At 39.4% G+C, this 13,072-nt stretch overlaps 1 protein-coding gene across 1 annotated transcript in view, besides 1 other annotated feature; it reads left to right on the top strand.

Annotated features, from left to right (window-relative positions):
• Positions 1–13,072, top strand: part of TOX (thymocyte selection associated high mobility group box) — a 313,736-nt gene that overhangs the window by 27,415 nt on the left and 273,249 nt on the right. The window lies entirely within an intron of this gene.
• Positions 10,276–10,455: a silencer, noted in NCBI's record as "fragment chr8:59993837-59994016 (GRCh37/hg19 assembly coordinates)". NCBI's record gives its function as "represses an EF-1alpha promoter that drives an FKBP-Casp9 reporter gene in an ReSE screen in K562 erythroleukemia cells {active_cell/tissue: K562}" and the evidence as "EXISTENCE:reporter gene assay evidence [ECO:0000049][PMID:32094911]".

The raw sequence follows: 13,072 nt of genomic DNA, 5'->3' as shown, positions 1-13,072 counted from the left end.
GAAAGAAAGTCATTTATAACATGATACAAATACTTATTGATACCACCATACCAAACATGGATGAAGCCCTGCACTGAGGGCTCTGTGTATTATTTAATTCTTATAATAACCTAATGAGAGATATGCTGTTATGAAACCCATTTTACAGATGAGGTAACAGTTTTGTGCTTAGGAAGTTAAAAACAAAAGTGAGCTAAGACTAACAACTAGATCTGTCTGTCTATATTGTCCAAGAAGAGCATATTGGTAATAAAGGAAAAGAATCATGAGATAACCCAAGTTTTAAGGGGTGAATAGAGGAAGAGACCCCTGAAAAGAAGGAACAATCAGAACCAGGATAGAGTGGTGTGTCATGGAAGCCAGGAGAATAGAGCGTTCCAGGGAGTGTCTCAGAGAGAGTTCTGGGGAGTGTCATCTCAACAGTGATGTTATAAGAGAAAGACTAAAACATAGCCATAGAATTTGTCACTATGGACATTATTGGCAACTTGGTGAAGGTAGTTTGAATAGAGTGCTGAGGCTGGGAGTCAGGCAGTGGTGGACGGAGGAATGAGAAGGAATTGAGGCTTTGAGGCTGGCAGTATGGAGGGCTCTTTCACTGCATTTACCTGAGAAGGTAAGGGAAGAGAGAGAGCAATAGTTGAGGGAGACAGAGCCCAAGGGGTTATTTTTGGATAGGAGAGGCTTCGGTATATTTATATGTGAGAGGACAACGCCGCTGGAGAAGGAGCACATGGGAAAACCTGCTGGAGTCACAGCTGGTGGAGATGGCATAGGGACCTACTGAGGCTGGGGTGGGACTGCCTTTGATAGAATAAAGGACACTTGTGCTTTGCAACTGGCAGGAAGCAAGTAAGGACACATGCAGAAGGTGGTTGATTTGTTTGATGGGCCTTGAGGAAGCTCCTCAAGTCCATGTCCCTGGTTACTTAGCACACTAGGAGGTGGAATCCTATGCCCAGAGTGATGAGATGGGGCTAGCTAGTGGCCTTGAAGAGATGAGTGAAGATCTGGAACAGTTGCTGTGAGATGAGGGGAAAGGAGCTAACCAAAAGCAAGAATAAGGATTTGTGAGCAGCACTGAGGACCCAGCTGAGAGCAGGGACCCTGAATACTTGGATTCCTTCTCTGAGGAGCTCATGACCTTAAGAAAGTTACATCAAACTCTTCCCAGCATCCTGGGCTCCTTTTTCTGTGGGGGATGATTTTGCTATAATAATATCAGGTGCCAATAAACAGGTGGCATTCTCTGGTTTGCTTTTTCCTTCTAAATTTAATTAGAAATACATAAAGGATACCTGACACACACCGTGTCCGCCTCTTGACATTAGATGCTTGGTCATATCCTGCATTGGAAACATATGATGAGTTCTACCAAAGGGCTCTTAGATTTAAGCAAAATTTAAAGAGTCACAGGGCAACTAGTATGCAGATAATTTAATTCAGTTACCTACAGCAGCATTTTCCACACTGTGTGCCAAAAATATGTATGTCTTGTGAAATTTTTGATAGGTGTTCCTTGAGAAAAGTTTTCCTAGGTCAAATAAAACATCACTGCATTCACTACTCTCCTCTTAGAAACTCGTTACATATTAGCTTATAAAAGGCTCTGAGAAGCCCTTCAATATTGTCACTTCTTTAACTTTGTGTAATCCAGTAGAACACAGTTAGGAAACAAATGGTTTTGTATCTTGCCATAGTGCACTGAAAGCACCTGACCACATCAGTGGCCAACGTTCTGAATCTGATGGGGCCTTCAGTCTGATAGACCATCACTGGAGAATGCTGGCCATAAAGCCTTAAGTTCCTAGCATGGATGGAGGTGTTAGCATCCCAGACTTCTGGTTTTGGCTGGGCATGGTGGCTCACACCTGTAATCCCAGCATTTTGTGAGGCCAAGACAGGAGGTCACTTGAACTTGGGAATTTGAGACCAGCCTGGACAACATAATAAGGATCATCTCTACAAATTAAAAAATTAGCCGGGCATGGAGATGCATGCCTGTGATCCCAGCGACTGGGGAGGCTGAGGCGGAGGATCCCTTGAGCCCAGGAGATTGAGGCTGCAGTCAGTGGTGATTGACGACTGCCGTCCAGCCTAGGTGACAGAGCAAGACCTTGTCTCAGAAAAACAAAACTTCTGGCTGAATGGTTTGGATTAAGTCAGCCTTGCGTTTTTTCCCTGAGGCTCTTCCATGCTACCAAGGAGTGAATGGAATTCCCTAGTCACTTAATCTGAGAAGTTACTTCCAACAGGCACCACTGTGAAATAATACAGTGGCTGTATGAGGGACTTGCAGGAACTCTTAACTCAGTGTACCTTCCAGATTACTGAAGAGCTGAAAGAGGTCACTATGATGGTCTCACAACCCACTGTGCTGGAGACATGACCCCTGAAGTGAGAAAATATACAACAGGAAGTGACTTGAAGAAAATTCAGTTACCTACAGCAGGATTTCCCACACTATGTGCTGAAAATATGTATGTTTTATAAAGCTTCATACACCTGTAAACACGTAAGCTACATCCTAAAAGTGTTTTGTACATCATAAGCATGTGTGCTATGCCCGAAACAAATATGCTAGGTCTATTATCAGCATGAAGCTCTGTTAGCGTGCCTTTCACAAAGTGATTTCAGAGGGTTAAGGTTCATTAAGATCTTGATTTCTAATTTGTCATGGAGAACTATTATAAATTCTTTTCTGGCCTGTACTTATTTTATCTTAAACTTGGATGCTGACATAGTTTACAGCCTATTTAGGTTTGTTAAGTATTACATTTCACTAATCATTAATAATATGAAGATCAGTATTATTTTTAGTGAATGGAAGCCCATTAGTGTGATCTATAACTTGTGGCTAATAGGTACCTGCTAAGAGATGTGTAGTCATGTCATTGTGCAAGGATACCCAAATGTCATCATTTTGTTTTGATTTGCAAGCAGTGATGCATTGTCTGTGAATGCTCCAGCTTTTCTTACACCACAGCTACCTCATTTGCCAAATATGGGAATGATCCTTTGTTCGTGTTAATTGAAAATGACATCCTTATTCATCATATGCAATTTTTTTAGTCATTAAAATTCTGTCCAAAGCCTATCCAACTAAGGGGAACGGCTGACTAATACCCGGGGCTTGTTAATCTATTGTTATCAGCTTTCTGTTTTATCCTCCTGACATGAACAGAAACAGGGACTATGATGTCCAAACTTTGCCTTGAATTCTGTACCCAAAATGTAATGCTGGAGCAGTTATACTCATGATCTAGAAAAATTTTTGGCCTAAGTTATCCAGAAAATGTCTGGTGTCTTTCATTTCACTTGGAGGTTCAAAAACTTACGTCTGATTATATTCCCATTGGAAATATAAATTCCTATGATGAATTTCCCTTCACATTGTTACCTATCCCTTCGTAAGCATACAAAGCATAATAGTGCAATTGATTGAGATAGTGAGCTGAAATGAACTTTTGAAAGAAAAAGAAAAACCTTTAAAAATAAGCCTGAGTCTAAATTACACTGCTAATCATCACCTGAATTAAGATATAGCCATAGGCTGTATCTGCTTAACGTCTTATTCCTTCTTTGTGACCTTCTGAGAAGTAGTAAAATAAATGGCATTAAAATAATTTATATTCGCTGCCAAAAATGTGTTTTTTTAATATAATAAAGGTTTCCATCCCTTTGATTAAATTTTTGTTTATATTTGACACTTTCTTGAGGTACATAAATTCGCATGACAGTGAAAGTCCACACACTCACAGGACCCAGGGCCAGGTTGAGTTGAATTTGGACACATGACATAAATAAAAGTGGTTTTATGTTTCACCTTCATCTGGTAGGTGAGCACTCCACCTTTTCTTGTGAAACATAATCGGTTGTGACATGGCAAAATTAGATCCTGGCTATTTATTATCTTCTGAAATCAAACCCCATAACTGGGAAGGCATGTGGTAGGTCTGCTGGGGCAGCTTGCATGCAGAGAGGAAAGGGGGGTGGGTTTCCAGTTTTATAAGCTCAAGGTGATTTTCTCCAACATCTCGAACATTTTAATTAATTACCCTGAAAGATTGAGTAAATTATTATTTGAATACTTTATGGCATTACATGTTAACATTTCAAGGACAAAGTGCTGTACTTTGCTTTTCAACAATGCTTCATCTGTCAGAATATATCTTTGAAATTTATGTAGTTTGCTACAGAGTAAAGGGGGGGACAGACCTGGAGTCCTATGAATTATTAGGAGACACCAGAGTCAAATGTGATCTATTCCACAATAAAAGGAATATTTATTGGTATCTGATTTCAAGTTAGGTATTAAAAAATTAACAGTGAAATTGATTAGCTATATTTTTCTCCAAACATGTGAAACAAAATTGGCTTTCTTTGATGAAGTTTGTCTGATTTTTTTTTAACCTTCGGCAAAGCTGAAAGGCTAAGCAAATGCCTTTAAATCAGAAGGCAAAATTCATGAAAACGGTTTTGGGCATGCCAGCTTCTCCCTGGGTGCCATGCTTCACAAAGTATGTTGTAAGATATGTGCTCGACTGTTGATGCTTTTAGAGAAAAGGTCTTTCAGTTTAGATATAGAAATCTTTAAAAATATATATTTCATTTTCAAAGCATTCTTCAGCCTGCAGAAAGCCTGGCTTGCTGAGTTTGACAAAGTCTGTTTAAATGTAGAAGTGCATAATATGTCATAGGCTGTTTAGTTGATCTTTGTAACCAATAACAAGCTTCTCTCTGCAGATATAATCTTTCTTTCTCCATAAGGGCACTGAACCTTTTACTAACTTCATCCTACCATCAGTAGATTAGATTAAATCCCCATTTACTGCATCATATTAATATTTTCAATGGTGCACTAATCCAAGAAATAAATGTGTCAGTTTCTATGGCTACACTGTAATGGGCATAGCCATCAGAGAGTGCCTTAAGGCCACATAAAAGACTTAATGTACAGATTGAATAGAAGCACATTATTTATTACGAAGCTATCAAGCCGAGAAATTTAGCAATCTCATTTTTTAGATTTGCTCATTTGACCTGGGCCAATTTGCCTGACTGATAATATTGAATATTTAGTATCACAATGTTTTTGCAGTTTTAAGGATAAAGTGTTTCAGACTAATTTGATTCAGAGCAGTTTATTGAATTGAATGATTTTACGTCCCTGGAATCTTTATTAACTTCTTTTTTAATCTTAGTGACTTAAAATTTAAGTGGGACTAAGGAATAGTCTACTTTATATACTGATGATGGGAGTCTATTTAGCAAAAACAATGACAGAGAGAAATGGAAGCAAACTTATTAGGCCGGATTCTGTCTTCTGGACATGGACTGCTGGGAAGAGGGTAAAAATGGGTATGGAGTTGGGGAGTGGAATAATGTGCTCCTCATGTCTCTTCACACCCCAAGAGTCAAATAAGGTTTAATATTCTGTGGGCTTTAGTCCGGGTATGGTGGCTCACACCTGTAATCCCAGCCCTTTGGGAGGCCGAGGTAGGTGGATCACTTGAGGTCTGGAGTATGAGACCAGCCTCAACAATATGGTGAAACTCCATCTCTACTAAAAACACAAAATTAGCTGGACATGGTGGCGCACACCCGTAGTCCCAGCTACTTGGGAGGCTGAGGCAGGAGAATCACTTGAACCCCACAGGCGGAGGTTGCAGTGAGCTGAGATTGTGCCATTGCACCCCAGCCTGGACAACAAGAATGAAACTCTGTCTCAAAAAAAAAAAAAAAAAAAAAAAGAAAAGAAAAGAAAAAGAAAAAGAAAAAAAGTACTCTATGGGTTTTGTTGGAATGGTTTGATTCACCCTGAAATTTGTAATGGGAGAACCAGAGGAACAAAAGTTTGTAAAGAAAAATTTCTCTCATTCTCTTTCTCGTAAGTCTCTCCTACCTCCTTTCCTTTGGACAATAATAATAAAAATGCTAGGATCATTTGATTAAATAAGAGTCACTCAGTCAACACAAAGCCTGCTGTCTTCCTCCAGTATATTTGCATTTGAACCAAAAATAAAATTGAAAATTTCAATTTTAGGCTGGGCACAGTGGCTCACGCCTGTAATGCCAGAACAATGGAAGGCCAAGGCAGGAGGATTGTTTAAGCCCAGGAGTTTGAGACCAGCCTGGGCAACAGAGGGAGACTCTGTCTGTACAAAAATCAATAAATTAGCCAAGTGTGGTGGCGCATGCCTGTGGTCCCAGCTACTTGAGAGGCTGAGGCAGGAGGATCACTTGAGCCTGGGAGGTTGGGTCTGTAGTGAGCTGTGCTCGTGCCACTGCACTCCAGCCTGGACAACAGAGTAAGACCCTGTCTTAAAAAGAAAAAATAAAAAAGGAAAAAGAAAATTATGATTTCAGATTGGTGGTTTGGCATCATATAATTTTAAAAAAAGTTTGATTACATTACTTTTCTTAATAGTTAATGTAGATGAACTAATTTAGAAGTTGAATTCAGCCTTCAGTTGCTGGTAGCTAAAAATTGTGGCATTGGAATGTGACTGATTATTTTTCATTCACTGATCTGCACATGAAAGTGAAAGGGATTGCTTTCATTAAAGTTTGGTAGTAAAGTTCCTCTCAGATCAAAGGCTGTTTTGGTAAGTGCTATAGTGTAATATCTAGAGGATACTGAAAATTTTCAGGCAGACCTGCAGGGGCCCATTTCTATCTACTTTTTATATTTCTTTGTTTGGTTTATTCTCTTATTATTTGGCATGATTTAACATTTAAGCAGATGTAGGATCTGGACTTACTACTACAGAATATCCATTGATATATCCATTTCATTTATACTTGGCATTACACTTGGAAAATTGTATTTTAGTTTGGGATTTGGGTAGAGAATGTTTAAAATTTGTGGGTATTTTACTGTATTCTAGAAACCTGTTGAAAGACAAAATGATTTTTTCCAGTATTCCTTTACACTTCCTAAGAGAGCTACTAATAACTGTGTAAACTGCACCATTGCCAAAAGCTGACATTTCTAGAATTTCACATGTCAGTAAAACAGTGTAAAACACTATAAGGAGCAGTGGGAAGACAGGAGAGAATTAGCAGAGCATTTTAGTGGCTTTAAAGGAGTCCTCCCAATCTATTGAAGTCTTAAACTTTATGTTCTGGAAAATTCTATTTCTAGTAAGTAAAAATAACCCTCATGACAAAATTTCATCAGTGTTAATGCTAATGAGAAGTAAAAGATATCGAGAATGCATAGAAAGTTATTACCTACGAATTATTAGTAGTTTAAAATAACATGATATTTGCATGGATAGGTGTATTTTTATTTTACCAGAGAGTGTTATCTGTCTCTCACTTAAAAACTGACTAATATAGACTTTTGTGGCTATTTTCCAGTACAATATTAATACAATCATTCCCTTATTTTTCTAAAAAGTAAATAGAGGATCTTTGTTTTTAAAGAGTCATATATCGTTATCTTTTTCTTTATCTCTGTAGCATTTGGTTTATAGTTTGATAATAAAGATGTAATATTTTAAGTCCTCTTTCATAATTCAAGTAAAAAATACCTGAAAGCTTTATTTTAAAATAAGTATATACTTTTTATAAACCCAGTGAATGGAATAAGTATTTTAGTAAGAACATTCTGCGGTGCGGTCATACAGAAAGGTACTTAAACCTATGGGTAAAGAAATGTTTCCTCTCATAACATTTCTTTATAACCTGAGCATTAAAAGGATTATATGTATTGTGATACCTAAAACATTGAGTATAGCATTGTGATAAAAATTAACACTCATAGAGCAACAAGTCAACAAGTGTCTTTTGCCCTAACAGTATTTTTAACTTAAAGTTAAAAATGTGAGGGTTTTTCTACTCTGTCACTGAGGCTTGTTCCTGAATTTAGGAAGAATAAATGCAGATATTCTTCCAGCAAAAATTGTGAAAGGAAATTTCTACAGCATTTTAGCCTCTTGGTTCCTAAAAGAGTGAGTTATCGTTTCTCTCTCCCGTGGTCATTAATAATGACAGATGTACATGGTGCAGAGTTCACCTACATTATTGTCAGTAGCAGGGCTGGCAAGAGAATATTTATTACAGGAGGAGGAGGGACAGAGAGACATGATGTTGAAACAGAAGACAAGAGCAGGGTTCAATTGTTTTTTTCTGTTGAAATAAAATATAATCATTCTCCAAGCTTTCTCAATAGCATTTATTTCAAAGCACTCTTATTATAAATATATTTCATCTCCATAAATGCTCCTTGTGGTGTTGATTTTAAAATTGAAATGATGAGGCACTCATTTTTATTTTATTTTTCCAATAAACCTAATAACCAAATATATTTGAATAACTCTTAAAATATTATTTGATTGTTGATAGGAGGACCCTTTGATTGTTAAGGTCTTTTCCCATCATGATATACAGAACTAAAGGTATTTAAAATTGATGCAGCTAGCATTTGAATCGTGATTTGAAATTTTGCTTAAATAAATATTATAATAAAAAGTAGGTTCCAAGATGAAAAATTTACAAAGTGCATTTATGCAGCCTCTTCTGGACTCTCTCCTTCCACTTTCTCTTTTTTCCTCTGCCCTTCCTCCCTTTCTAATTTTAGCCTATTAAGACAACTCTTCTTGGGATTCCTTTCCTGGGTTAGTCTGTTGATTGTCCCTTATGGTACAAAGGAGAGCCTGTATTTGGAGTTGTGTTTTCTGTGCCTACTCACACTCCCTCACGACAGAAATCCAGACACAGCCTCTTCAGTGGGAATACCTGACTGACTGTGAATTCTTTAAAACAAACAAACAAAAAACAACGATGAAGGGGTTGGGGTAGGGAGAAATGAAATTGGATAAATATACGGTGCTTCTCTAATTTCAGATTAAGGAAAGGATGAGGGACATAGCTTCCTGTGTGATTTATACAGAAATCACACAGATTCCCAAGGGTAGAGGTACGCAAATGAGGATATATTAAAAGAAAACTTAAAAGCCATTTTATCACTTAGCTGACAAAAATCATACAACTTCTCAATGGTATTCTTCAGAATGATTGTAGTTGTAACAAAGATACAGTCTAGGGTATGGTACATGGGGGTCCCTCATAAATATTAGGTTCCTTTTCCCTTAAGGCAAAGTCCATATCTTGTTTATTTTCCTACCCCCTCATCAACCAGCATTATGCCCACACCTAGAAGGCATTTCGTAAATATGTTTTTGATGTACATACGTAGAGATGTAAAGGACATATGGGCATTGATTAATTAAAATTCATATCCATAAATATATGTTAAGATCACTTCTAGCTGCACAGTCATACTGTTTGCAAGCAAACTACTAGTTTGGCCTAAGTGAATTTCGCAGTGCAATTTGATGCGAGGAAACTACCCATCTCATGGCCTCAAGGCCAAGGCCTCATGGAAAACTTGGCTTTCAATGTCCAGACTGACCCATTGAAGAATGATGCTTTCAACTCCCCAATTCTCCGTGGAAGATTTTTTTTAAAAGCAAACTTTAAGGCATTAGTGGTCCTCTAATTAGAAAAATAAATGAAATATAAGCCTTTTCCAAATTAAAACTAAACCAGACAAATAAAGAGTATTAGGAAATAAAATTGAACTACAATGCAAAGATCACTACTTATGGATCTACCCAAATGGCATTAACAAGAGCAGGGCAAGATCAACACAACTAAAATGATATCTCTGTTTCAAAAAGCTGTTCTCAGATAGAATGAAATAAATCACTGCTTTAGTTGACAAATATTCAACTAAATTTTTTATTATTTTTCCCCTTTATAAGTACTTAACGATCCATTTTAAGTTGTGGGAAAATGAAGAAATATATATTCACAATTTTGGTAATGGTATAGTCTTACAGTAGCTAGGGAAGTCTGCCGTGCAGTATTCGATTTTTTTTCAATCAAGTCCCATTGTCAGTTATCTATGGCTTTTAAAACAGGATGGAGTTACCTGTTATTCCTTTGCCTCAATTTTATCCACCGCCTCACCATCTCTTTGAACTTGATGCCAAAGGAGGCTAGTGCTTCATCCTGCCTGACAAGTTCCAGTTATTAGAGCTTTCCCAAGTAACATGATCAATACCTTCAGAGGTGTTTTATTCTACTTTTCTTAGACATCATGTAAAGACACTTTTTCAAGTGCTACTTTTCAGAGATGCTGAATGATGCTCTGAGCATGCAATCACAATGTGAAACTTAAAGCTACCATTGACTTCCTCTTCTTTTGCACTGTAACAAACTTAAAAAACCTTAAGCAAATAAGGGTGTATTGCTCAGGGAGTTGCAAGAATCTTGTGTAGAAGCCATACCTACATTTTTGCCATCTCTCAACTCATTTATGCTGCAATCCCGAATTAACTTGAAAACTCCCTTTATACACAGAATCAAATTCCTCTCATTTTAACACCTTCCCTGGCCCGGCACAGCAGCTGACTCCTGTAATCCCAGCACTTTGGGAGGCTGAGGCAGGCAGATCACTTGAGGTCAGGAGTTTGAGACCACCCTGGCCAACATGGAGAAACCCTGTTTCTACTAAAAATACAAAAATTAGCTGGGCGTGGTGGTACTCACTTGTAGTCCCAGCTACTCAGGAGGCTGAGGCAGGAGAATCACTTGAACCCAGGAGGCAGACACTGCAGTAAGCCTAGATAGCACCACTGCACTCCAGCCTGGGCGACAGAGTGAGACTCTGTCTTCAAAACAAAACAAAACAACAACAAAAACAAAACCTTCCCTATACACTGTCAGATACAACATCTAAAATTTATAACTTCCACCAACACACAGGTGAACACCGACCAGTAGGTAGAGGCTTGTATTAGGCTGTTCTTGCATTGTTGTAAAGAAATACCTGAGACTGGGTAATTTATAAGAAAAGAGGTTTAATTGGCCCAGTTCTGCAGGCTGTACAGGAAGCCTGGTAGGGACCTCAGGAAGCTTACAATCATGGTGGAGGGCAAAATGGTAGCAGGCACATCACATGTTGAAAACAGGAACAAGAGGGTCGGGGGGAAGGTGCCACAGACTTAAATGACCGGATCTTGTGAGAACTCACTGTCATGACAACAGCACCAAGCCATGAGGGAATCTGCCCCCATGATCCAAACACCTCCCGCCAGGTCCCACCTCCAGCATTGGAGATTACAATTCAACATAAGATTTGGGTGAGGACAAATATTCAAACTACATCATTCTGCTCTAGGACTTTCCCAAATCTCATGTCCTTCTTGCATTGCAAAATACAATCATGCCTTCCTAACCGTCCCCAAAAGTCTTAACTCATTCCAGCATTAACTCTAAAGTCTAAAGTCCAAAATCCCATCGAGACAAGGGGAGTACCTTTACCTATGAGCCTGTAAAATATAGAACAAGGTAGTTACTTCCAAGACACAATGGGGCACAGACATTGGGTAAATATTCCCATTCCAAAAGGGAGAAATTGACAAAAGAAAGGGGCTGTGGCTGGGTGCAGTGGCTCACGCCTGTAATCCTAGCACTTTAGGAGGCTAAGGCAGGTGGATCACGAGGTCAGGAGTTTGAGACCAGCCTGACCAACATGGTGAAACCCTGTGTCTACTAAAAATACAAAAATCAGCCAGGCATGGTGGTGCATCCCTATAATCCCAGCTACTCAGGAGGCTGAGGCAGGAAAATCACTTGAACCCAGGAGGCGGAGGTTGCAGTGAGCCAAGATCACACCACTGCACTCCAGCCTGGGCGACAGAGGGAGACTCCATCTCAAAAAAAAAAAAAAAGAAAAGAAAACAGAAAGGGGCTACAGGCCCCATGCACGTGATGTTAATTAAGCCTTTGGTGGGTTCCAAGGCCTTGGGCAGCTCCACTCCTGTGGCTTTGCAGGGCTAAGCCCCTGAGGCTGCTCTCACAGGTTGTTGAGTGCCTGTGGCTTTTCCAGGCTCAGAGTGTGAGCTACCAATGGATCTACCATCCTTGGGTCTGGAGGATGCTGGCTTTCTTCTCACAGCTGGGACTGTGTGTGGGGCTTCTAACCCCACATTTCCCCTTCTCACTGACCTAGTAGAGATTGTCTGTTGGGGCTTCACCCCTACAGCAGTGTTCCTGCCTGAGCATCCTGGCTTTTCCATTCATCCTCGGAAATCTAGGTGGAGGGTACCAAGCCTCATTCACTCTTGCACTCTGTGCACCCACAGGCTTAACACCACATGAAAGGTGCCAAGACTTACAGTTTGCATCCTCTGAAGCAGTGGCCTGAGCTGTACCTGAGGTTTCCTGAGCTGAGGCTGGAGTCTGGAGTGGCCTGCATGTGAAGAGCAGTGTCCCAAGGCGTTAAAGGCCAGCAGAAACCTAGGCCATGCCCATGAAATCATTCTTCCATCCTAGGCTTCTGGGCCTGTGATGGGAGGGGCTGCTGGGAAGGTCCTGAAATGCCTCTGAGGCCTTTTTCCCATTGTCTTGGATGTTAGCACTTAGATCCCTTTTGTTTTGCCAATTTTGCTATATTTGCATAACTAAAATTTTTTAATTCCTCTCCCAAAAAGGTTTTTCTTTCTCTGCTCCATGGCCAGCCTGCAAATTTTGCAAACTTTTATGCTCTGCTTTCCTTTTAAATATAAGTTCCAACTTTAAGTCATTCCTTTGCACCCACATCTGAGCTTAGGTTGTTAGAAGCAGCCAAGTTACTTCCTCTTAAACACTTTGCTGCTTAGAAATTTCTTCCACCAGATACCCTAAATCATCACTCTTAAGTGCAAACTTCCATAGATCCCTAGGGGATGAACAAAATACAGCCAAGCTCTTTGCTAGCTAACGCATACCACATGGGACCTTTGCTGTAGTTCCCAATTATGTTCCTCATTTCCATCTGAGACCTCAGTAGCCTAGACTTCATTGTCTCTATCTCCGTCAGCATTTTGGTCACAAACATTTAATCAATCTTTAAGAAGTTATACACTTTTCTTCATCTTCCTGTCTTCTTCTGAGCCCTCCAAACTGTTCCAACCTCTGTCCATTACCGAGTTCCAAAATTGCTTCCACATTCTCAGGTATCTTTATAGCAAAGCCCCACTCCTAGGTACCAATTTTCTGTGTTAGGCTGTTCTTG

The sequence above is a fragment of the Homo sapiens genome, chromosome 8 (assembly GCF_000001405.40).
Source record: "Homo sapiens chromosome 8, GRCh38.p14 Primary Assembly".
Taxonomy (NCBI): domain Eukaryota; kingdom Metazoa; phylum Chordata; class Mammalia; order Primates; family Hominidae; genus Homo; species Homo sapiens.
Note: the sequence above shows the minus strand (reverse complement) of the source record. Positions and strands in the feature narration are given on the sequence as shown.